At 36.6% G+C, this 27,682-nt stretch overlaps 1 protein-coding gene and 2 long non-coding RNA genes across 3 annotated transcripts in view; 1 reads left to right on the top strand and 2 right to left on the bottom strand.

The window, feature by feature from the left end:
• The window catches only part of LINC02066 (long intergenic non-protein coding RNA 2066), a 105,814-nt gene that overhangs the window by 26,767 nt on the left and 51,365 nt on the right, over positions 1 to 27,682 (bottom strand). The window lies entirely within an intron of this gene.
• LOC105374157 (uncharacterized) lies at positions 5,591 to 11,275 on the bottom strand. Its single transcript, XR_924581.3, has 3 exons — positions 11,195 to 11,275; positions 7,770 to 7,908; positions 5,591 to 5,940 (listed from the first exon to the last, which is right to left on the bottom strand). It is a non-coding gene; the product is annotated as an uncharacterized LOC105374157 (long non-coding RNA).
• The window catches only part of IGSF10 (immunoglobulin superfamily member 10), a 187,494-nt gene continuing 171,090 nt past the window's right edge, over positions 11,279 to 27,682 (top strand). Inside the window, exon 1 of the mRNA XM_011512709.3 lies at positions 11,279 to 11,298. The gene's annotated coding sequence lies outside the window, so the exon portion shown is untranslated. The remainder of the gene's footprint in view (positions 11,299 to 27,682) is intronic.

The raw sequence follows: 27,682 nt of genomic DNA, 5'->3' as shown, positions 1-27,682 counted from the left end.
ATGTGAGTGGGAGTAGGAACCCTTTGTTGAGAACATTTTTTAAGTAAGATTCTAGAGGGCCAGTTATTTGTGGAAACCAGCTGATGGAAGGGGGCAGCTGGAGGAGCCAGAGATAGGTGAAGAGAATAATTTGATCCTCCTGTGACTTTTCCTAGTGCTGACTTCCATCTTCCCAGCTGAGAACTCCTGTGATAGCTTCCTGTCTATCCCCCCACCTCCACCACTGGCTCATTCCTCCCTGCAGTCTAGTCTCTCCCCAAGCCCCACCACAGCAGACAACTTCAGCTGAAGAACATTTTGGTTTGAACTGTCCTAAAAATGGAGACACCCCTTTCTTGGATTTCTTTAATTGATATATCATACTTGTATGTATTTGGAGTTACATGTTATATTTTGATACATGTATACAACATGCAATGATTAAATCATGGTAATTGGATATCTGTCATCTCAAACATTTATCTTTTATCTTTTCTTTGTGTTGGGAACATTACACTTCTTCTCTTTTAGCTATTTTGAAATATAAATAAGTTATTATTAACTATAATTTCCCTTCTGTACTATTAAATACTAGAACGTATTCCTTCTATCTAACTGAATTTTTGTACCCATTAACCCAATTCTAAACATTCTACAACTATAAATCACTGGCAAGGAAAAAATGATAAATCAAAACAAAACATCAGAACTTAAAAACAGCTGGATTTTCTTCCAGGTGGAGTTGATGCCCTCTGAATTTTCTTGTAAGTTGTATACTTTCTTCAGAGAAGATCAGAATATTATCCTCTAGGATTAGGGTAACCTTTTATAGGAAGAACTGACACTCTCCAAATTCTCCCTCAACCAGCTTCTTAGTGCCCCACATTCCACAATTAGATGCTCATTTGTTGGTTTAAAACTTCTGTAGCTTTGCTTGTTTACTTTTCACTCCCTCATCGTGTTTATACATCATGACCTTAACATGGATACCTCAGAGTGGAAATATTTGTCAGATCTATTTCTAAGACCAAAAGACATTGGGGAGGATGCTGTTGTGAGGGTGGGGGTTGGGGAGTAACTGGGAGTTCCAGGGCCCACTTGGGCTGCCAGGAGGGAGGGAATCACAGGACGTCTTCAGGCCTATCTCATTTTCTTCACAATTTCCCCTGCCCCGTCCTACTCAGAATGTGAAAAAGCACAGCTTTTTGCCATATGTTCTTTGATTCCCCTGGTTAGCAATAGTCCTGAAATATCAAAATGCTTTTGCTATTTAAGACCTTAATGCTCTTTAAAGACTTTTTTATTAACTGTAGCACGTAAGTCCAAGTTACGGCAAGAGACTTAAAGTTGTTCGAGGCATTGCCAGTAATTCAGGACAGGATCACAAAAGCAATAAAAATGGGAGAAAGAAAAAGATGATGATGCATTGCTGATGCAGTACCTGAGATTTTCATGTCACAGGCTGAACATAGGTACAAGTTTTCCCACAGAAATAAATTCTACCAACTGTTATGTATCCGCAGCAGAGAAGGAAGGTATGATTCAGAAATTAATTTCTATCAAATTGTTTATAGCTCTATTTTGATTATCCACACTTTCATATTTGTAATATTATGTTAACAGAAAAGTAATCGCGGTTTTTGCCATTACTTTCAATGGCAAAAACCGCGATTACTTTTGCACCAACCTAATAGCTGAAAAAGAGTTAGCAAATAAAAACCTGAAAATGTACTATGCAGCCCTTTCTAAAACCTTTCCACAGCTCATCCTTTCTTCCAGCCATTAGGTCCAGCACCAAATTCTTTCCTTCTGCCTCTCCATTACCAGGACTAGTTAGTGCTTTAATGTTCCTTATTATTCACGAATTATCTGACCAAAATAACCCAGTCATTGTTAAAATTAATTCCTCTGAAACGGTTTAAAAATACGGCACATAAAATTTAATTAGGCTAATAAATACTTGGAATATTGTTAAGATATTACAAATGAAGGATACAGGAACTTATGGTCTAGTGGGGAATTTACAGTCTAGATCAAAACTATAGCCGCCAAGGAAGAAGACAAAGCAAATGCAGCTTTGCCATTGAAGAGGCACAGAGCGCTGTTGGAGCACCAAGGAGAGAGATATTATTTCTGTCTGAAAGGAGAAGGGAAATGCTCATAAAGGAGGAAGATGGTAGCTAATTGAGATAACCACCGATTTGTGAACACCACTTCTTTGAATGATCATTATGAAAAATATCTATGAACTAGATTCTTCTCTACATAGAAGTTTGAACAAAGCATTAAATGTTGAAGGCAGGAAGTTACCTAAACTACTAAATAAAAATAATTTATTTTTGTTATACCCTGACGTCTGTTAATAACAGATAACACTTCCTTGAAAGTCAGAGTTTCAGTTAAATACTGGGTAGAGAGTGAATTAAAAAGCAATAAACAAGTAACCCTTGTATACTTACATAACATCGTCTTTAAAAAGAGTATCCAGTATCAAAGTCAAGTGCCAAGGCTAAGGGAGGCAGCCTGGTGCCCTGGAAAGGGCATACATAGGCTTTGCCTATGGAGAGACCTATGTTCAATTGCCGGCTCTACCATTTGTTAGCTCTGCATGCTTTGATTTGGGCACTTTATCTTTTTCTCAAAGTTTTCAATTCTTTTCCTATAAAAGAGAAATGTTTTTAGATCTTACTAATGCACACACCTAGAAACTTAAATTCAGTGTCTGAAAAAAAATCACGGTTTAGCCTAATAATTTTGTTAATTTATTTCATTTTCTTGAATTGTGGTGTCTGATGCCAACCTTTGGAAGGCTAAGGCGGGAGGACTGCTTGAGCCCAGGAGTTCAAGACCAGCCTGGGCAACATAGTGGGATCCTGTCTCTACAAAAAAAACAAAAAATTAGCGGGAGTGGTGGCATGTACCTGTAGTACCAGCTACTAGGGAGGCTGACGTGGGAGGATTGCTAGAGTTCAGCAGGTCGAGGCTGCAGTGAGCCGATTACAGCACTGTACTCCAGCCTGGGAGACACGAGATCTTGTCTCAAAATAAAATAAAATAAAATAATTTAAAAATTTAAACAAATCACTCTCTCCCTTTCTCTCTTCCTTGCTTCCTTATCTCCCCTCCCTACTCTCTCATTGTATTATATATGCTGCAATTCTATCCACAGGTAGACTAGCTTGTAATCCTACTTACTGAAAATTTTACTAATAAATTTCTCACATAATAATAAAAATAAGGATAATAAAGAACACCAAAGAATTAATACTATCCCCGGTAATGAAGAGACAGAAGGAAGCAATCCATGTCCCATCTGAGGGTTTGAGGAAAGAAGAGGAGGTATGGAAGCCTTCAGATGGGGCAGCAAGGTACATTTTTCACAGATCCTCTAAGGTTTTTAAGAGGACATATTTTCCCTAGAGATTCTCCAAGACACACCTGCCAAATACAAATTTCAAATTGCTCTCTATATGCTAGTGTTCCTGATTTGTATGGCTGATAATTGCCTTTTAAAGGGGCTTCATATTTAGGATCACACCTTACCTTCTCCACACCATGACGAACCTGGGGCAGTAAATATCACCACCCCATGTAGCATTTCATCAGCACACAATATCCATCCTACGCTGAGTTTTCCTTGGTGCCCAGCTAACTAGTGTTAGAGCCCAGCCTTAACTCAGATGTTGAGTAATTCCAATTGCTAGGCATTCTGACCTCAAGCTTGTGGGGTGCCCTTCCTGATCTTTCTTAATAATGACAATATCACCTACCTTGTCCCAGACAAAATGCCAAGTGCTTAGCATGCACTCTTGATTACCTGTAACCTCAATGCACATTAGGAAAGACTGTGCTTGCTTTACAGATGAAGAAATGATGAGGCTCAGATCGGTTAAGAAACTCACCTTAGATTGGGTGTGATGGCTTATGCCTGTAATCCCAGCATTTGGGGAAGCCAAGGCAGAAGGATAGCTTGAGGCCAGGAGTTTGAGGCCAGGAGTTTGAGACTAGCCCAGGCAACACAGTGAGACCCTCTACAAAAAATAAATTTAAAAAATTAGCCAGGCATGATGGTGTGCCTGTAAGTCCCATCTACTTGAGAGGCTGAGTAGGGAGGATTGCTTGAGCCCAAGAGTTTGAGGCTTCAGGGAGTCATGATCATACCACTGCACTCCAGTGAGAGAAATTTGCCTTAAATCACATCGTTAGTGAATTCCAGAAGCAAAGTGCAAACCCAGGCACATTCTACATATTTCCCAAATGTCTTTTTCAAATCAATGTCACTGCAAAATAAGAAAAAATAAAAAACTAATGTCACTGCAACCTTCCTTTCCATTGAACTTCCATTGCTTTCTGTCTGAGTCTTATTTAGAAGGAAGTCTGCAAACTTCTTCCCTTCTCCACTCACCATTTCACTGTAAGGTCTTTATGACCAATAAATGACTTGCTGTATTTTTCCTACAATGCCTAGCACTGTAAGAGCTTAGACATATTTTTAAGTGATTAACACCATTTTTGAAAAGCTGTCCCAAAGAAACCAAAGCTAGGCCTGTGACTCCAGGTACTTCACTCCTATTGAAAAGTAGTAAATAATTAAGAGAAAGCATACAAATTAGTAGAATCTTAAATTTCCATAGGAGGCAAATAAGTAACCCCATTTTTATTTGCCAGTGAAGTAAAAAATGTGATCACTTACATGCCCATTTATGCCCACTCTTACCAAAATCTTTGAGGTGGCCCATCCATTTACGAAGACACAGTCTACTGTGAGTAGACATCCGCAGAAACTTCTAGATGATGATATTTTCCAATGCTAATTATTTGATAAAGAAGTTTAAAGGAACTCATAGTTAAAAACTCTTTGCTATTGTGAATAGTGCTGCAATGAACATACAGGTTCATGTATCTTTATAATAGAAGGATATATATTCCTTTGGGTTGCAGGAACATAAAACTAAATACTGCGTTCTCACTTATAAGTGGGAGCTGAACAATAAGAACACATGGACACAGGGAGGGGAACAACACAGACTGGGGCCAGTCAGGGGGTGAGGGTTGGGAGAACATCAAGAAAAATAGCTAATGCACACTGGGCTTAATACCTAGGTGATGGGTTGATAGGTGCAGCAAACCACCTATCAAACCATGGCACATGTTTACCGATGTAACAAACCTGCACATCCTGCACATCTGCACATGTATCCCAGAACTTAAAATAAAACAAACAAACAAACAAAAAACTCTTGACATGCATTGAATCAGTTCAGTCTCTTCTGTAGCTTTCAACCAGCTGCTGTGCTGGTTATGGCAGATCTCTCTGTGAATGTAACCTTCACGTGTTGCTGTTGTTGTTGTTGTTGTTTTCATTAATGTTCTTAGGAGTCTGCTGTTCTTCCTGGACACTCAGAGCAGGAACAGGAATACACAGAGCCTCAGAGTTGGCAAAGTTTATTATTTGACTATCCTTTTTCAAGGGGGGAGGTGGACTCAGGCTAACATACAATATCCTGTATCATAAAGTTCCAAATAGTAAGTTCCAAAACCAAATGAGAAGTTTTCATTGTTTCTTGAAGAAATAAATAAGATCACAAAACAGACAGCTTAATCTTTTGTTGATTGTTTGTATTTAAGGTAACATATTAATATAAATTCATCTCAAATATTTAATAATCCTTAGACACCAGAAACAGAATAATCTCTTCTTTTGATGGGGAGGGGCTGATATTTGGGTTGTGATTCACTGTCTTGGACCAGCAGACCACCAAAATGAATTTCCAATCTATAATAAATAGTGACGATGGAGTCTAAAAACTCTGGAGAAACATTTACTACTAACTACTGTTCCCTAAATGTCAAGATGTGCCCAATTCCTCTCTGGAAATATTACAGATGAAAATTACATCAATCCTTATTCACGTCTTCAGTTCCAGGAAAATATAAGCTCTCAGTCACTTGGGGAATTTTCTGGGAGAGAAGGAAATTAGTTTCAAATGGTTTGGTAATCATCTGAAAGGCGTATCTGTCAAAGTGAATCAGCCTGAAGGTTTAGAGAAACATTTATGTTGTTGCTGCTTTGTTCAACTGAACAGAACCCTCTGAAGAAATCTGAAGAGCTAGCTTCCTCACATTCTCCAAGTCTTTTCTGAAATCACCTTCCCAATGAGGCCTTCCCCACAACCCTTTTTAAAGCTGTTAACTCTCCTCCTAACAATTTTCTACCTTCCTTTCCTATTTGCTTTTCTCCAAAGCACTTATTACCAGGTGACAAACTATATATTCTACTATTTTATTTATATATCGCCTATCTTCTTCAACTAAAATGTAAACTCCATGAAAACAGAAATTGTTTTCCTGCCATATCCCCTTCACCTAAAATAGGCAGATACAGGTGCTCAGAAAATTCTTACTAAACGACCAAGATAATCAATAAATAAATAATCTAAGATAGTACTCTTATTGAAATTAAAGCCATACATTCAGAGCTGCCAAGAAATAATAGTTTTTTCTTTATTTTTATGAGCCAGATTTATTTTCAGCAAAGCTACAGATTTTTAAAGAAAATATGTGTGTGTCTTCAAACCACACACTTGGAAAGCAATAAATGACACTGAATGTTTCAGGAGTGAAAACATGGCTCGTGAAACATATTTTTTCATTAGTATTGTCTCTCAAGCAGTTACAAAAGGTGAATGACTTGAATATTCAAATACATGGCGCTTTCTGCACTGAGGCTAAAGGAAAGAAGCACCAAGCTAAGAACCAAGACGAGTGGGGTTTTGAGTGTGTGTGTGTGTGTGTGTGTGTGTGTGTGTGTGTTACTATTACTAGAGAGCTGTTTCTCTACTTGCATTAAAAAAAAAAAAAGTGTGGCCAGGCGCGGTGGCTCACACCTGTAATACCAGCATCCCAGCACTTTTGGAGGCCAAGGCGGGTGGATCACGAGGTCAGGAGATGGAGACCATCCTGGCTAACACGGTGAAACCCCGTCTCTACTAAAAATACAAAAAATTAGCCGGGCGTGGTGGCGGGCGCCTGTAGTCCCAGCTACTCGGGAGGCTGAGGCAGGAGAATGGCCTGAACCCGGGAGGCGGAGCTTGCAGTGAGCCAAGATCGCGCCACTGCACTCCAGCCTGGTGACAGAGCAAGACTCCGTCTCAAAAAAAAAAAAAAAAAAAAAAGCAACAGCAACAACAAAACGTGTGGGATGGAAAGTGACTCCAAAGTTCTGTGCCTCAGTTTCCCAGGCTATAAAGCCCTTTCACCCTTTCTAAGGAAAGAATATACTGTGACAGTAAAATGGTAAAGTAAAATCAATTTGAAAAATATAAATACAATGTTATTATTGCCAAATATTGATAATATTTATTGACATATATTTACTGATAATAAAGATGTATGCTTTGGCACTATGTTATACTTAACTTTAAATTTAGGAAAATGTTGGACCATATTGAACACAAAATGTTTGCAAATATATCAAAGATAGATATGCTTCCTTGACTGTGCCATAAAGAGAAGATGGGAAAAGGAAATCTTGACTTTCCTATGGTTTGATTTTATGAAAACAAGTTATCTAGTCTACAGATATAAAAAGAACATATTATATGCGCCATTGAAATGAATAGTAAACTTAGGAATTAATTTAAGATTTAGTTGTCTATTAATTTGGCAATAGAGTAATCAAGTTCCACAGATTTTTATGTGAACATTTTGAAATAATAGTAAGATCTACATTTACTTATTTATCTATAATTTCCTAAATAAAAAAATTAAAATTGTAAATTGTAGCATACCTGTGTCATGAAATAGGAGAACTGATAACTCAAATATGTTCACTCAGTCATGCTATGGTGAAAAGTTGAGCCAACTCTTTGGTAGATAAATATTTTGGAATTCCTGTCTTCAGTTAAGTGGCTGGCTCTGAAACACACTCTAAGAAACAACGAAACGAGCTGTGAATTTAGCATTGTGCCTTCCAGTTTGTTTATGCTGCCAGTTAAGTACCATGTATAGTCTTGACCAATGTTTATTCTCTGGGACTCAGTTTCCTTCTCTGTGAAAGGAGGTAATTGAATTAAATTATCACGGGAGCATCACAGAATGTTAGGACTAAAGGAGCTTTGGGGATTGTTTTGTCTAACTCCTTTGTGTTATAGAAGAAACCAATGCTAAAGTGCCTATATCTGTTGGATACGATGATTCTATTACTACTCTTCCAAGTCAGATATCTTACAGTAACATCCCCACATCCCACAAAGGAAATTAAATTGAATTAAGCCTTCTATTCAAAAAGCATAGTAAAGGATATTATCCAAATAAATAAAATGTGTCAGAAGTAAATTTCTAACCTATGACTAGCAATGCTATTTCTAAATATCCCCCTACCCCCAATTTGAAATAGATCTACTCATTCACACAGAGTTAAAACTAGAGTTGTTTCTCTTCCTTAGAGCATGGAGAGACCAGCATAAGGCCTGAACCCATATTGATACATAACTGCTGTAGTTGCTGAAACAGCATTTGGTAAAAGTTAATAATCATTATGGATTAAAATCATTCATAAAATAGCAAAAGATGGACATTTTCTGGTTATTTATAAATACATTTATAACTAAAAGATCTAGCATCAAGCTTAAGAATACAGGTGATACAGATGATAAACAGCTTCTAATTAACTTTAACACTCTAAGACAAAAACAGAAGGGGAGAAAGGCAGTGAAGGAGAAAGGAGGAGAAGAAGAAAGATGGGAAGGAGGAGGGGTGGGGGAAGGATAAGAGAAAGAAAGAAAAGTATGTTACCGAACTTGCAGAAAAAGAAGCAAAATTAACATTATTTTCAAATGATAGGATTGTAGAGATTGAAAAAACAAGACACTCAAGTAAAAGAGACTCAAAGTCAAAACCACTACAAACTATAAGAGATCTGGTATAAACATAAACATGCTTCAATAAAAGCAATAACCATTTTTCAAACATTATATAAGAGATCATATGTAGTATTTCTAGGCAAAGGTAGTATAACTACAGAATAATTAGCAAGAAAGTGAAGAAATGTTTTAGAATGCTTCTGAAAGACAGAAACATACTTGCTCAAAAGGAAAGCCTACCTTGCTCTTGGATAAGATTTATCATTATAAATCACAAACCAGAATCACAAACTGGAAAGAAGGAGAGGAAAGCTCACAGAGTTCTGTTTTATTAATGTAAAAAATAAAGCTTTCCCCAAAATGCCTAGCTGACTTCTCTTCACCCTTGGTAATATGAATGTGATTTGCATACGCATCCATTTCTTTTACACAAAATTACTGAGCATCAATATCAGGCAAGTACTCTTGTTATGAGTTTGGTTATTAATAATAATGTTATTAATAATCTGACCCTGAATGTTGGAAACAATTATAAATTGTAGAGTTGACGAGAAAATACTTGATTGAACTCCTGTGGGAATCACCTAAGTATATTCTGTCCAGTGAAAATCTTTCATAAATAACAGTCATTTGTTAAACTGGTTAAAATAAGTAGTCCAGATCACAATATTTTTTCTCCTACTCTTCTCAGTTATCATTTACCAATCAAAGTATTTTTTCCACATTCTGTAGACACAGATCTAAGTGACATGAGGTATATAAAAAGACATTTTATATACACAAGATCCTTTCGGTTTAATTAGAGAAATAAGACCTACATTCTGAAAAGAAAACATAACATAAGCAAGAGTGAAATATTCCTAAGTAATACTTATAGATTTTTTAAATTGTAGTTCTGATTAGCTAGCAGTTTCCCAAACGTTCACACTTGTTTTTTTTTAATTTACAATTCCATTCTGTTCTCTCCTTCCCTTTCTCCTTATTCTTTGAAACTCAGATCAAGGGTTAGCTTCTGTATAAAATCTTGTCCAACCACCCCATATCCTAATAGAATTCACTATTTCCTCCTTGTGCTTTATGTACCCTCTGCATAATATTTCAACAGCATCTTACAAATTCTTGCGCGTATTTCTTTGCATGCTTGTCTTATCCAAGATCATGCTCATTCAACTTTTTGTACCTGTCACCTGGCACAATGCTGCAAACATAAGAGATCAATTGATTAAGTGAATAAAATGATGGGAGTTTGACTATTAAAAAAGGAAATAGAGTCTGGGCATGGTGGCTTATACCTGTAATCTCAGCACTTTAGGAGGCTAAGGTGGGAGCATCACTTGAGGCCAGGAGTTCAAGACCAGCTTGGGCAACATAAAAATACCCTGTCTTTATTAATAAAATTTTTAAAACAAAATTAAAAGGAGATAGACTATAATGTTTTATGGAACAAAAAAACTAGAGGAGCACAATTGTGTTGTCCTTGGATTCGTTTTGAACTTCTTAAAATAAGAAATGAACCCAATTTACTTTACTGCTCCTGGGATAGAAAGTTCAAGGACCAAAGATATTTTCCTGTTTCTGTGCTACACAAAACTGGAGCTAGGCAAAAGTCACTTAGCTACTTGCTGCAGTAAATACATGCTCTAGAAGATAAAACTATGAAACAACAAAAATAGCTTAGTGTTTAAGACTAATAGCGTATTTCTGGACCCTTTCCTTGCCATGCCCACCAAACCAAAGTTATTATGCTCCAAACCCTGACCAATCCCAAACAGCTCCATCTTGCAAAATCTGCCTTAAAACCACCCAATGCCCTGTATATTTTTCTTCCTGTAACTTCCTTCTTTAGAGAATTTATTGACAATCTCAAACATGTTGATGTTCTCCTTTAGTGTAGTAAGTCTAATTAACTGAGCTTTACTTGATCAATATGTTTATCTAGTGGTCTTTGATGGCATTAAGGGCCAATAGTAGCCTTAAAATGAATTTATATATATATTCCCCAGTTTTGAAGAACAGTTTATCTATAATGGGGAAGCTGATTTTGTGTTATTTACCTTAGATTCTGTTATCCCCCAAAAGGAGGAAGCATGAGCTAATTTATAAAAACACAAAGTATTTTTTATTCACTTTTTAAATGACAGCTAAAGTTATACATTTTTTAACTCACTTCCTCTTTTAACAATATTTCCTCATATTTATAACTTCATTGAATGGCATTACCTAAAAGATAACCACTTATTTTATTTTTAACAGTTTTATTAAAGTATAATTTTGTCTTAGCTTGTTTGCTGCTGCTATAACTGAATGCCAGAGATTGGATAATTTATAAAGAAAAGAAATTTATTTCTTACAGTTCTGGAGGCTGAGAGTTCCAATGTCACATGACTGTCTCTGGAGAATCTTCTGCCAGTGGCGACTCTCTGGAGAGTCCTGAGATGGCACAATGCATCCCATGGTGAGGGAACTTAGAGAGACAGCCAAACTGACTATACAACAGACTCACTCTCATAACTCACCCACTCCTGTTATAACCCATTAACCTATTAACCCATTAACCTATCAACCCATTAATATAGTAATCCATGAATGGATGAATAAATTCATGAGGGCAGAGTCCCAATAACCCAATCACCTCCCAAATATTCCACCTCTCAACCCTGCCGCAGTGGGGATCAAGCCTCTAACAAATAAGCTTTTCCAGGATACATTTAAACCATATCAAATTTACATACCCACTTATTTTTATAGTAATATTTGGGGTTAATCATAAAATGCATATTCATTATTAAAAACTGGAAAAAATACAAACAAATATAAATTCTCAACTGTCTGATAAATCCATCTTAAAATTTTGGTCTATTACCACAAATTTGTTTTTCCACTACATACACACACACACACACACACACACACACACACACACACACACATTAAAAGTAATTGAAATACTATTTCATATGCCATTTTATAATTTGCTTTTTCTCTTGTTATATTATAAAAAATGTTCTGCTTTTATCATAAATACTTCAAAAACTTTACATTCATATTTATGGTGAAGTAATACGATGCTTGAGATTTCCTTCAAAATAATCAAGGTGGAAGCAGGGGGAGGCCAATGGATAAGCGAATAATAAAAATAAGCTAGTGTTTAGTTGATATCTGTTCAAGCTGAATGATGACTACATGTGAGATCTTTATATGTTTATTCTCCATACTTTTGTATGTTTGGTATTTTCTATAAAAAATTTAAAATCTTTATTTTTAGTATTTACATTATATTTTATTTACATATTTACTTCATTTTATGTAACTATTCTATTTATTAATTTTCATTAGAGATTTAGATTATTTATAGTTTCTTACTATTGAAAACACCGTGATAGGGTCTTTGTACATAAATATTTGTATTTCTTTGTATGAGACTTTCAGTGATAGCTGAAAGTTCGGAAAACTTCACATCTCTGTTTATTTATTTACAAAATATATGAAAAAAAGCCTGCTCTTGTACTTGCCTCCTGGCATACATAGTAAAACAGTATAAACATTTTTATTTTTATTTTTTATTTATTTTATTTTTATTTTTAATTTTTTAATTTTTTATTTATTTATTTTTTATTTTTTATTTTTTTTTGAGATGGAGTCTCACTCTGTTGCCCGGGCTGGAGTGCAGTGGTGTGATCTCGATTCACTGTAAGCTCCGCCTCCTGGGTTCACGCCATTCTCCTGCCTCAGCCTCCTGAGTAGCTGGGACTACAGGCACCCACCACCACGCCCGGCTAATTTTTTGTATTTTTAGTAGAGACGGGGTTTCACTGTGTTAGCCAGGATGGTCTTGATCTCCTGACCTCATGATCCACCCGCCTCGGCCTCCCAAAGTGTTGGGATTACAGGCGTGAGCCACCGCGCCCGGCAAACAGTATAGACATTTTAAAACTTCTTTATGTCCATTACTAAATAGTTTCATGGGAAAGTTGTTTCAAAGAAATTTTAAAACATTTTAGCATCTTAATCAGTTTGGGTGGCTGTAACAAATATAACATAGACTGGGTGGTTAAAACAATAGAAATGTATTTCCTAACATTCTGGAGACAGATGTCCAAGAGCAAGGTGCCAGCGCTTCAGTTACTGGTGACGACTCTCTTCCTGGTTTGCTGATGGCCAACATCTTGCTGTATCCTCCCACAGTGAGAGAGAGAGATCATCTCTCTTGTGTCTCTTCTTACAAGGTCACTGATCCCATTAATAAGGGTTTCATTACCTAGTTAACCTAATTAACTCCCAAAGGCCCCACCTCCTCATCACACTGGGGATTAGGTTTAAATCTTTGAATGTGAGGGAACATGAACATTCAGTCTATAACAGACATGTCTATTTATTTTCTGAATTGTTTATACTTGTTCTTGACCATTTATTCGATGCAGGATGCTTCATGATGAGGGGGCTAGAGCATGCTAATCTGGCTTTTATAACATAATCACTCTTGTGATAACTAACCCTCTCCCATGATAACCTATTAATTCATTAACCTATTTATCCATTCATGAGGGCAGAACCCTCATGACCCAATCACTTTTAAAAGGCCCACCTCTTAATACTGTTACACTGGGGATTAAGTTTCAACATAAGTTTCAAAGGAGACAAATATTCACACTATAACACTTTGCTCCTGGCCCCCCAAAACTCATATTCTTCTCCCATACAAGTAGATTCATTCTACCCTCACATCCCCAAAGTCTTAATTCACTTCAGCACCAACTCAAAAGTTCAAAGTCCAGAGTTTCATCTGCATCAGATATGGGTGATACTCAAGTGACAATTCATCTTGAAGTAAATTCTCCTTCGGTTATGAACCTTTGAAATTAAACAAGTTATCTACTTCCAAAAATACAATTGTGAGACAGGAATAGAACAAGCATTCCCATTCCTTCAGGGAGAAATAGCCATCCCCCCAACAAAAAAAAAAGAAGATGAAGAAAGAGAAGAAAAGGGAGAAGAAGGAGAAGGAGGAGGAGGAGGAGGAGGAGGGGGAGGAGGAGGAGGGGAAGAAGAAGAAGAAGAAGAAGAAGAAGAAGAAGAAGAAGAAGAAGAAGAAGAAGAAGAGAAGGAGAAGAAGAGGAGGAGGAAGAAGAAGAAGAGGGGGAAGAAGAGGAGGAGGAGGAGGAAAGAAGGAGGAGGAGGCAGAGGAGGAGGAAGAGAGGGGAGGGGGAGGGGGAGAAGAAGAAGAGGAGAAGAAGAAAGTAGTATCAAGTCCCAAGTAAGTCTAAACCCCAACAGGGAAAACTACTTTAAATCTTACAGCTGGAGAATAATCTCCTTTGACTCCATTTCCAGCATCCTGGGCTCACCAGTGCAGGCATTGGGCCCTAAAGGCTTCAGGCAGCCTTGCCTTCTCACTATGTGATGTCCTGTGCCACCCTGAAACTCTACAGAGGGTCCTTACCTGTAAAAAGGCCCTTACCAGATGCCACCCCTCAACCTTGAACTTCCCAGTCTCCAGAATTGTAAAAAATATTTTTTTTCTTTATAACTTACCCAGTCTCAGATATTCAGTTATAGCAACAGAAAACAGAATAAGACGCATTTCGTAGAGGTTTCTATAGATGATACATAGATGCATGAATGGATAGATGCTCTTTATAAATTAGAATATTAATCAATCAGTTAACTTATTTGTGGAAAGCATTTTTACTCAGCTTGTCAATAATGAATTTAAATATTTTAATGTAGAAAAGGTTTTTGTTTAACTTTTATGTGCCCAAATATATTAGTCTTTTGCATTGATATTCTGCCTTTTCTATGTTTAAAATATCCTTTAAAGGGGCCTAAGTATTTATTTTGGAAGTGTGTGTTTTCTATGAAAGAATTCTCCAAGATACAAAACCACTCTCTCCTTTAAGAGATGTTTTTACTTAATGAATGTCCATAAAAAAGAAAAGGATATAATAACACCATTCTATGTTTTTATATGTTAGATTTTAGTTAATTCTATACATTAAGTTACACTTAATTGGCATTATTTTTGAAGACTGAAATATATGTTGGATGAATGAAACAAAATAGAAAATAAAAGAGTAATAACAAAATAAATATTTAGTGCCAGGCACGGTGGCTCATGCCTGTAATCCCAGGCCTTTGGGAGGCTGAGGCGGGAGGATCACTTCCTGAGGTCGGGAGTTCGAGACCAGCCTGACCAACATGGAGAAACCCTGTCTCTACTAAAAATACAAAATTAGCTGGGTGTGGTGGCGCATGCCTGTAATCCCAGCTACTTGGGAGGCTGAGGCAGGAGAATCACTTGAACCCAGGAGGCGGAGGTTGTGGTGAGCCGAGATCACGCCATTGCACTCCAGCCTGGGCAACAAGAGTGAAACTTAATCTCAAAAAAAAAAAAAAAAACCTCAAAAAACAAAACCAACCAAACAAACAAAAACAAAATAAATATTTGGTAAGTGGATAAATAAACGAATCCCTATAAATTAACATAACTCCAAGTTGTCACAGTTGATAGTTAAATGCTTAACTGAATATTTTGCCATTTTAAGAATTACTGTTAATATTTTTCTATCTTTATCCTAAAAAGGATTCTTCTCGACCTTTGTATGCTATTTTAATCACTCCCTTAAAGCTCTATTTAATCACTCCCTTAAAGCTCATAATTTTTATCTGCCCTTGCTTTTTATAGTTTCCTTTCAGCGCTTCATATTTCCTTCCCTTTGTAGTTTATTTGATCCATAAAGAGCGTACTTAAAATTTTTCCTACTTCCGCACTGTTAGGTTCTCATTAAGCTTATTTCATATGCCCAGCATAATTTGAATGTCTTATTTCCCATTACTGCAAATTTCTTCACATATTCAGAGTTCTCTAATTTATTTTAAGTAAAAGAAGAGTAAAGTAATTAAGACACAGCATACATGGAACAATATAGGAGAAAAGTAGTTCTTTTTAGGTACTAGCTTTTAATATGTAATAAGAGAAATTTAAAATGAAAATTAAGTCTGTATTTATATGGTGAAATAAATATAAAAATTGTTTAAGAAAATTATAAATTAAAAATAGTGATATAGACATTAAAGGTGAAAAAACACACCATCATTTTGGGTAAATTACTTTTCATAGCTATAACTCACAAAAAAACCTTGACATTCAATCTTATAAATGAAGTAGCTTTCAGTTAACATATGCATTTTAATCAAATGTAACATTAGAGGGTAGAACATTGTCTGACCCAAAATAGAGGTTTCATGCATATTTTTTCAAATGTAAATATGTAAACAAAACTTACCAAAAAATGTGGCATTAAAATTTTTCTGACCTTAGCAAATGCTTTTAAACATATTTTAGAAGTTCATAGGCTTTCCAAAGTCATCTATCATTACAAGAATAGCTGTCATTGCTTTTAGTAAAAGTTTCAATTTTCATTGATATCACCATAATTATTACATTACAGGCTTCTTTTTTTTTTTTTTTACTGTTTCTGTTACCTCACTTCCAATTCCTATACTTCACTTTACCTTTTCTTATTTTTTTATTTTATTATTATTACACTTTAAGTTTTAGGGTACATGTGCACAACGTGCAGGTTTGTTACATATATATACATGTGCCATGTTGGTGTGCTGCACCCATTAACTTGTCATTTAGCATTAGGTATGTCGCCTAATGCTATCCCTCCCCCCTCTCCCCACCCCACAACAGTCCCCGGTGTGTGATGTTCCCCTTCCTGTGTCCATGTGTTCTCATTGTTCAATTCCCACCTATGAGTGACAGCATGCGGTGTTTGGTTTTTTGTCCTTGCGATAGTTTGCTGAGAATGATGGTTTCCAGTTTCATCCATGTCCCTACAAAGGACATGAACTCATCATATTTTATGGCTGCATAGTATCCCATGGTATATATGTGCCACATTTTCTTAATCCAGTCTATCGTTGTTGGACATTTAGGTTGGTTCCAAGTCTTTGCTAGTGTGAATAGTGCCGCTATAAACATACGTGTGCATGTGTCTTTATAGCAGCATGATTTATAGTCCTTTGGGTATATACCCAGTAATGGGATGGCTGGGTCAAATGGTATTTCTAGTTCTAGATCCCTGAGGAATCGCCACACTGACTTCCACAGTGATTGAACTAGGTTACAGTCCCACCAACAGTGTAAAAGTGTTCCTATTTCTCCACATCCCCTCCAGCACCTGTTGTTTCCTGACTTTTTAGTGATCGCCATTCTAACTGGTGTGAGATGGTATCTCATTGTGGTTTTGATTTGCATTTATCTGATGGCCAGTGATGATGAGCATTTTTTCATGTGTTTTTTGCCTGCATAAATGTCTTCTTTTGAGAAGTGTCTATTCATATCCTTTGCCCACTTTTTGATGGGGTTGTTTTTTCTTGTAAATTTGTTTGAGTTCATTGTAGATTCTGGATATTAGCCCTTTGTCAGATGAGTAGGTTGCAAAAATTTTCTCCCATTCTGTAGGTTGCCTGTTCATTCTGATGGTAGTTTCTTTTGCTGTGCAGAAGCTCTTTAGTTTAATTAGATCCCATTTGTCAATTTTGGCTTTTGTTGCCATTGCTTTTGGTGTTTTAGACATGAAGTCCTTGCCCATGCCTATGTCCTGAATGGTATTGCCTAAGTTTTCTTCTAGGGTTTTTATGGTTGTAGGTCTAACACTTAAGTCTTTAATCCATCTTGAATTAATTTTTGTATAAGGTGTAAGGAAGGGATCCAGTTTCAGCTTTCTACATATGGCTAGCCAGTTTTCCCAGCACCATTTATTAAATAGGGAATCCTTTCCCCATTGCTTGTTTTTGTCAGGTTTGTCAAAGATCAGATAGTTGTAGATATGTGTCATTATTTCTCAGGGCTCTGTTCTGTTCCATTGGTCTATATCTCTGTTTTGGTACCAGTACCATGCTGTTTTGGTTACTGTAGCCTTGTAGTATAGTTTGAAGTCAGGTAGCGTGATGCCTCCAGCTTTGTTCTTTTGGCTTAGGATTGACTTGGCGATGCGGGCTCTTTTTTTGGTTCCATATGAACTTTAAAGTAGTTTTTTCCAATTCTGTGAAGAAAGTCATTGGTAGCTTGATGGGGATGGCATTGAATCTATAAATTACCTTTGGCAGTATGGCCATTTTCACGATATTGATTCTTCCTACCCATGAGCATGGAATGTTCTTCCATTTGTTCATTGAGCAGTGGTTTATAGTTCTCCTTGAAGAGGTCCTTCACATCCCTTGTAAGTTGGATTCTTAGGTATTTTATTCTCTTTGAAGCAATTATGAATGGGAGTTCACTCATGATTTGGCTCTCTGTTTGTCTGTTATTGGTGTATAAGAATACTTGTGATTTTTGTACATTGATTTTGTATCCTGAGACTTAGCTATTTGAAGAATTGCCACACAGCTTTACACAAAAGTTGAACTAATTTACACTTCTACCAACAGTATAAAAGCAGATGATAGTATCTGACTGTTGTTTTGATTTGCATTTCTCTAATGATCAGTTGTGTTGAGCTTTTTTTCATATGCTTGTTGGCAGAGTGTGTGTCTTCTTTTCAAAAGTATCTGTCCTTTGCCTACAAATTTCTATGTCTTGATGCCAGGTCTTCAACACTCATTGAGAATTTTTGGTCTTTATCTGATAGCTTAAAGTCCAAATTTAAATATAAACTTATTACAGTCTGTATGCCCATATCGCTAATTGTTTTACCTTTGTTCGTATCATATAAGGAAATCACTCTCTTTTAATTGAATTATCAGCTATAAGTTGGCTGCAGATATCTATTACCTGGGAATGGGTTCTTTAGGGAGTGGAGAGCATCTTCTTTTCTACTTCTATACTCTTATTGCTCTATCCCTCTGACTTCTTTGAAGGGAAACAATTATACAGGCCATTCTGACCTTTTGCTATTAAAGAAAACTTGGAGGCTAATCACCACCTGTAAAAGTATTTTCCATGATGCTGAAATTACTGGTTCTGTGGTATGTGTGTGTCACACAATGAGACGTCCTTTATGATTAGAACAGCCTAGGATTGTACTATGAAATCATCTTATTCACACTCTGTGTGAACCACATCCAAGGGGCTTGAATAAGACAGGAAATGTTTTTCAATTCATTTTCAAGAGTTTTCTTGGTGTACTGAGATTTCAGCAAGTTTGGGAAGGAGAAGAAGGAAATGCTATGAGAACTTGACACGAAGTGCAATGCCACATGCAAGAGCAAAAGAAAAGAAACTGCAAGATGGATACTGCCACAAAAGAAACTTGAAACATTCATTTGGGGACAGGGAAAGGGGAAGACCAAAGAGAAAGGAAATAGTCCTATTATCCATTTTGTTGGCTTCTCTATTGCTGGTCAAATTATCTGAGCTCTACAACTTTCCACATGTAATTGATTTTCCTATTTATTGGCAAAATGACTTAAGACTGAAGGTGAGTCAGTGGCTCAACCTAGAAGGAAATTCGTACATAGTTCTTGGTCAACTTGTTAATATTTCTTTTTTAGTTCAGTGCTTAGTATAGTTTCCAAGTAATAAATCTTAATAATTCTTGAAAACGGAAGGAAAGAAGTCAGGTTAAAATACAAGCAGCAAAATAAATATATGATTTAAGCTGCTTTTCTACATACAGCTAAACTTTTAGAAGTAGAGTTTGTTTTTATTGGGCTAACACACATCATGTCAGGAGGTCTTAATAATGCTGGCAAGCAAGAAAGCTGATGGAAAGTTTCTCTGGCTAACAAAAATCCTTTTTTAAGAACACATGGAAGATATCCATTTCAGAGAATTTAGAAATCCATGGGGAAAAAGAAATTCCGAAAGACATTATTTTTGTTCTGGCTCTCGTGTTTTCTCTTTCTCCCCTTTGCCTCTACTTACAGAAAGAAAATCAAGGATTTCTTACTTCATAGGTCAATGAATCAAGATACTGAATCTCTGCACACTCACAACTGTATGCACTGCCCATGTGGCCTCAGGCAAAAGTAGCTGGCCTTCACATTCAAATTGTACAAATAATAAATGGCCATAGATTAGTACTTTAAGATTTGGAAACTGAAAATAAACATTTGGTGAGTTTTCAGTGAAAACATTAAAATATGTTTTCCAGGTGTTATTTTATAGGGATATCATTTATAAGGTGGGATATTATCATTTGTAAGGTTTCTTTGAACATATGTGAATTTTTGCATATGACAAGCTAAATTAGAAAATGTGTATTCTCAGTTGTTTCTTCCCAACTTGATTTATAACAATCCAACAACAATCATTTAATATTTTCTTCTTCCTTTTGAACCAACCTACTATGTGCACTTTACAAAGTTATAGATTAGCTGGACAGCCTAAGGCCTGTCAAACATATACCCAGTCAACTAAACCTTGGTGCTATGGTTTGAATGTATCCTCTAAAATGCATGCTGAAGTTTAATTGTCCTTGTGATGGTATTAAGTGGTGGGACCTTTATGAGGTGATTATTATTAATGCCATTATCTAGAGAGTAGATTAGTTATCTCAGGAGTGGGTCCTATACAAGGATAAGTTTGCTCCCATTTTCTCTGTGTCTCACATGCTCACTCTCCATGTAATGCCTTCTGCCATAGACTGACCCTCAGCAGATGCTGGTGCCATGCTTTTGAACTTCCCAGCCTCCAGAACCATATGCCAAATAAATTTCTACTATTTATAAATTACCCAGTCTGTAGCATTTCATTGCATCAGCAGGAAATGGACAAAGACACTTGGCCTCCTTAGAAATATGCATGTTTTATCTGAATGTAATTAAAACTTATTTGCACACACCTTCATCTGAGTTCTGTCATTTAATAAAACAATTGTTATTACAAAAATGATCATTAAAAAAGAATCTAAGAAAGTCTGACTAGCTATCACACCTATAAACTGCCTCCATATAAAGTTTTTCATTTTGTATCAATTAATTTGCTTTGTCCCATGTGAGCTACAGCTTGATCCATGACTCATTTGAGCTCCAGATCCTAGAGTACTCATTTATTGACTAGACACAAGGAAAACCGGTGGCCTATAAGATGGCATCATGCTCTGTATTGGGAATAGGAAATGTTCTATCAATATTTGAATGACAGATTCACTACTCTGATTCTCTTTCTTAGGAAGTTAGATATCAGATATGTAGCAAGTCCTATCAGTTCCTCTTTCACAATATTTCCTTTACCAATGCTCTCCTTCCACCCAACTGCCACCATCCTATCCAAACTACCATCATCTCTCTATTGGACTGAGACCATAGCCTACTTACCCAGTCTCTCCATCACCACTGTTGCCCTGTCAAAATCCACTTTCCTTATAGCAGCCAGAGTGTTCTTTTATTTTAAAAGATTTTTTAAAGTCATTTCAATTTTTATTTTAGATTCAAGGGGGTACATGTAGAGATTTGTTACATGGGTGTACTGCATGATGCTGAGTTTTGGGATATGATTGATTCCATTACCCAGGTAATGAGCATAGTACCCAATAGACAGTTATCAGCTCCTGCTCCCTCTCTCTCTCCCCACCAGCAGTCCCCAGCATCTACTGTTTCCATCTTTGTGTACATGTATATCCAATGTTTTGCTCCCACTTATAAGTGAGAACATGTGGTATTTGGTTTTCTGTTTCTGCATTAATTCACTTAGGGTAATTGCCTCCAGCTGCATTCATGTTGCTGCAAAGAACATGATTTCAGTCTCTTTATTGCCGCACAGTATTTAATGGTGTATATGTACCACATTTTCTTTATCCGTACACTGTTGATAGGCATCTAGATTGATTTCTTTGCTATTGTGAATAGTGCTGTGCTGAGCATATGAGTGCATGTGTTTTTTTTTTGTGGAACAATTGGCTTTCCTTTGGGTATATACTGAGTAATGGGAATGCTAAGTCAAAAGGCAGCTAGAGAAAAAGGTCAGATCACTTACAAAGGGAACCATCCGGCTTCTCAGAGTGTTCTTTTTAAAAGTACAGAAGATCGGGTAACTTACCTGATTAAAATTCTTCAATGATTTCTCATTCCTTATAAACTAAAATTCCAACTCTAGCATAAGCTACTTTCTGCCTGCCTCTTTGCATCTCCATTCTCCAACCTCACTCATTGTGCCCCAGATATGCTGACCTCCTTCCTGTTCCTCATGCATGTCAAATTCTCTTCCACCTCAGGTCCTTTGCTATTGCTGTTTCCTATCTCTGGAAACATCTCCTCCCCTTTCCCCCATGTATTACATGGCTGGCTTATTTTACCTTCAGAACTCAGCTCAAATATCTTCTTCAAGAGGTTTTCCTCTAAAGCAGTCGTTCTCAGTCTTCACTGTTTATCAGAATGTCCTAGGAAGCTAATAAAAACTTCAGCTGACTTGATTACTTCCCAACCCTGAGAAGTAATTCAGACTAGGACTCTGGCATCAGTATTAAATCAGAACAAAACAAAACCCTCTACAGGTGGTTGTAATTGCAGCCAAATTTTGAATCAGTGATCTAAAGAAACTCACCATTTTCTTTCTCCATTATATCCACCTTTTAGTGTCCCTTAGTGTGTATCATATTCTATAATCACCTTATTTACTTATCATTTTCATATTGTCTTTTTCTTTGACAAAAATGTCAATTATATGAGAGAAGGGAAATATTCTCCTTATTCACTGCTGTGCCCCTAATGTCCAAAATATAGTAGGTCAATAAAAGAAGGACTGAAGGACCTTTAGGTCAATAGACAAACAAACAAAGAAGTGTTAAGCATCCGAGAAACAATATGGAGAATCTATTAAGTAAAGGGGATACCAAAAGTGAAAGAGAGTAAGTGGTGGAAAGATATGAAGAAACCAGAGAGAAGCTGAATCATGAGAATGAAGAAAAGCATAAACTATGGACAACAACATTTGCTCTTAGGTCATTGGTCTCTTCCAATGAAACCTGAACGTCCAAAGGCTAAAATTGAGTCCTTTTTTGTGAGTCCTTAAGATGTCCTACATTATCTCAGTTTTATGCAAACTCAGTTCCATGCAAAACCATGCTCAGCTCCATGCAAACCGCTTTGCTGACACATTGAGATTAAGACTATTTCATTACTGAATTTTAGCATAGAGAAGCCTTACCTTAGACACAGAGGCTTTCTCTTTTTTATTCAAACCATTTTTAATAGAAACCTTTTTACAGATATGCTAATTTACTTACATTCTTCAAAAGGATATGCTAAAGCATATTTCACATTATCTTGGTAACTCCAGGATTTTTGAGAGTCAAATATTTCATTATCTTATATTACCCTGGTATTTTTAAGAAATTTTAAAACATAGACCACTATTATAAAAGTCTTCAGACCACAGGACATTTATAGTTCTCAACTTTTTTCTCTTTTTTATGTTTTAAGTTTTCTTTTTTATGTCTATAGGAACTCTACTTTTACTAGCATGTTCCCATTTCTTTTTTTTTTTTTTTTTTTTTTTTTCCGAGATGGAGTCTCACTCTGTCGCCCAGGCTGGAGTGCAGTGGCGCAATCTCAGCTCACTGCAAGATCTGCCTCCCAGGTTCACTCCATTCTCCTGCCTCAGCCTCCTGAGTAGCTGGGACTACAGGCGCCTGCCACCACACCCGGCTAATTTTTTGTATTTTTAGTAGAGACGGGGTTTCACCGTATTAGCCAGGATGGTCTCTATCTCCTGACCTCGTGATCCGCCCGCCTCAGCCTCCCAAAGTGCTGGGATTACAGGCATGAGCCACCGCGCCTGGCCCATGTTCCCACTTCTTAATCATGCTTTTATTAAGCTGTGAGCTTTTAAAGTTAATTACATACTTTTTAAAACAAACACAAATAGTGATTCCCAATTTTACCTAAAATTGTAATCCCCTGGAGAGTTTTATAATCTACCTATGTCTGCCCTTCTTCAGCCCCTAGAATTTATCATTTAAACGCCCAAGGTGTGGACAGGGCACTAGTTGTTATTAGTGGTTTTTTTTTAAAATTTTATACTTTTTTTATCCCCAGGTGATTCTAATATGTACCTCGTGCTAAAATGCACAGAGGTTTAGCAAAGAATAAATTTGGAATTATCCAGAAGTTTTCCCTATTTTTAGGGATAATGTTCAAGTAGCCTTGACTCTTTCCTTAATTCAGTCTCTCCTTAGTATCCCTCACTTGATTACTGCTGCCTCTGCCAATACTCAGCCTCTAAGATTATAAAGCTTTCATTTACGATTCCACCCCAAGAACAGACAAACTCCATTAACTTTGTTCTCTTTAAGCTCAAGAATATTAGAGTTGAAAGGGCTCTTCACAAATAATCTAATCCAACTCTCCTCTATTTAGAGATGAGAGATTTGAGACAGGGAAGTAGTGTGCCTGAGGTCCAGTAAACTAGTTCCCAGAAGAGATGGCACTACAAATTCTCCATCCATTGACAATTACAATACTGTCCCTGTGGAAAAGTGGTGCTATAAAGTCAGTAAGAGTACGTGTTTAACAAACTGTCTTAGTCAAGGTGCTTTTAGAGTACAAAAAGAAAAACCCATTCAACCTAGCAAAAAATCACAGAGAGAAACTTAAAAAGTATCAGTAGTATCTTGCAGATCTCCAGTCAGGAGGCATTAGGAATTGGAACCAGCAATTGGAAAAGCACTGGGGGCCCAGTTCGTCTGTGTGTATGTGTGTGTGTCTATCTCCATGCTACTTTCTCAGCTTTACCTTGCACCTAAAGGTAAATGACTGGCACCCCTGCTCCTGCAAATAAATGTCAGTTTCTGAAACTAATGAATCCAACAAATACCTCTGTCTCCATTTCAAAGTTTTGGGAGCAGGGACCTGATCAGCCCTTTGGTCAGGTGTCCACTCATTCTCCTCCCAAAAATGAGCAGGGAGCAAAGTCATGTTGTAGAAATATGGGTACAGGCTTATGTTACCATTGGGGAGAGTTCTGGAGAGACATTCTCAGAAGTGGGTCATGTACAATCCTAAACAATGATCTTACCCTCACTTAGTAAGACAATTAAACTTCTGAAATTTGCATAACGAAAAGCTTACCGGTTTGTCTTTGACCTATATTATATCATGAGATTAATAGCTTCATTAATTAGGAGTTCCTGGCCAGTCCCATATTGAAAGCTACATTCCAGAAACATTAATTTTTAAAATTACTCTCAGGTGATTTAAAGGAATTAAATAAATATCTCAAAGCTCAATGAATCAAATATGCAATCATAGAGAAAGCGTTTGCACGTGCATGTTTAGACAGGTGGCAGAACTTAGTGACAACACAGCAGAATAAGGAGCCCACCCTCTCTTCTTCCACCAGCCTCACTGGGAAATGTCACCCAGTGAAATTGGTTCAGATAGAATAGTGATTCCCAATAGTGGTCTCTGGACCAGCAGCATCACTATCACCTGGGAACTTATAGAAACAAGTCCTGAAGCTCCAGCTGAGATCTACAGAATCAGAAACTCTGGGGGTGAGGCCCAAAAATCTGTATTTTAAACAGCCCTCCAGTTGATTCTGATATAGTCTAAGCTTTGGAAACCACTACAATAGAAAGCTACTGAGATTGGGGCCACTGCTTTGACTTGGAATAAGCTGGTTATCTGTCCACAGAGTGGCAAGGTGAAGAAAATGAGCATAGAATAGACTATGGAAAAACCTAGCTTTGTCCTGGAATTGTCTTCGCTAGAAGAATGGCCTTGATCAAGTCACCTAGCCTGTCTAACCCTTAGTGTTTTTCATCTTTAAAATAGAAAATAAGGAAAATGACTTAAGTTTTTGAAAATCAAATTTAGAATAATGTGTGATAGCTTTTTCATCAGAATGTTTAAATTAATCGCACTAGAATTTTCGTAGCCATAGTCTACACCTATCCCCAGTACTGAAGAAGAAAAGCAGAATTCAGTTTCACAGTAAAGGGGAATTTTAACAAGCCCGACATACCTGCATATATATATCATATATAACAGTGTGTGGAAACTATTTGCTGTAACAGCTGACTGTAAGGCTAACTTTGTAATATTGATTAAAAATCCCTTCTAAAACTCCTTAAGAAACATCCACAGATATGGGTACAATTGATCCCCACAGATTCTATATTTGCAAATTTGCCTACACATTAAATTTATTTGTAACCACCATAGCAATACAGAGATTTTGTGGTCATTCACATGCATGTGATGAGCTGAAAAAAATTTGAGTTGCTTGACACATACATTCCCAACTGAGGTCAAATAAAGTAACACTCTTCCTTCTTGTTTAAACTCTCTGTTGGTGATTTTGCCCTTTTAAATGGCCCCTAAGCGTAGGCTGAATGCTGTCTAGTATTACTAAGTGCAGAAAGATATGATGTGTTTTATTGAGAAAATACATGTGTTAGATGAATTAGGCATGAGTTGCCACACTGTTAGCCATGAGTTTAATGTTAATGAATCAACAATGTATATTCAAGAAGTTGTCTTCAAACAGAAACACACATAAAACAAAGTTATGTATTGATTGTATGACAAAAATATTATAATCAAAGACATGCAGGAACCTGATCCTGTTTTTCTGCTAGGAGTGCTGGTTCAGTATTCACTAATTAAATGCTCACAGTGACTTTATAGAATATAACTACTGCAAATAACAAGAATTGTCCATATTTTTAAAGTCTAAAGCCAAGAGGAGCATAAAATCAAAGCTTACCAAACAAGCCTTTGGCAGCTGGAAGGTTTTGAGGACAGTAAAAATATATATAGATATTTTTAAACTATATATATATATGTGTGTGTGTGTGTGTGTGTGTGTGTGTGTGTGTTATATTGGTACAAATATATATATAATCCTAATATATCTCCCAACATGTACTGGGGGAAAGATGATACAAATACAATCTTTCAAGAATTATTAAAGAAAGGATTCTTGCTGAAGGTAGAAAGGCTTATCAAGTTTAAGATTATATTATGATGCTTATTTTTAAACTGTCTTAAACTTCCTAGTTGATTTACATATGTAAATATATTGAATGAATCACGTATTTGCCAAGGTAAACTAAAATTAGCTTATTTATGTTCATTTTACCATAGGATATAAATACTAGATTGAATTTAAAATGCATAATGCTTTCTGCCAATAAACATCAGCACATTCTGCCAGATGCTTATCACCAAGACAGATTTAGTATCAGACTCAGAATCTGTGATTACTATTAAATAGTTCTCATAAATATAATTAGAATCATCTTTGTGTTTAGATAGTTTACTTACTATACTTTAAAGTATTCTATATAGTATTTTGGATATTTTTGAATATCTACATTATCAGAAATGGAAAAGGTTTATAATTTTCAATTAGTTGACTAATTATGTAACAAATATTTATTGAATGCCTATCATGTGCCAGGCACTGTACTAGATATTAAATATACAGTGGAAAATAAGATAAACACATCCTTGTGCTCAGAGAGCTCGCAGGCCAGGAAAAAAGGACAGTCTCGGAACAAAGGCAAGGCTGACCATCCCCCAGGAGGAAAGTATTTTTTCTGCCTGACTGTTTTTGAACTGGGACATCAGCTTCTTTCCTGCCATCAGGCTTGAACTGAAACATCAGTTCTTTCTAGGTCTCAAACCTATCAGCCATTGAATGAGAACCACATCATGAGCTCTCCTGGCTCCCAGGCCTTCAGACTTAGATTGAAAGTAACCATCAGCTCTCCTTGGTCTACAGCTTTGCCAACTCACACTGTAGATCTTGGAACTTGCCTATCCCCATAATTGTATGAGCCAATTTCTTATAATAGATCTGTTTATCTATATATACGTCTGATTGGTTCAGCTTCTCTTGAGATCCCTAATACAAAGAAGGTATTAAAATTATACAGATAATGGTG

Source organism: Homo sapiens, chromosome 3, assembly GCF_000001405.40.
Source record: "Homo sapiens chromosome 3, GRCh38.p14 Primary Assembly".
Classification (NCBI taxonomy): domain Eukaryota; kingdom Metazoa; phylum Chordata; class Mammalia; order Primates; family Hominidae; genus Homo; species Homo sapiens.
This window is presented reverse-complemented; position numbering and strand designations above follow the sequence as displayed.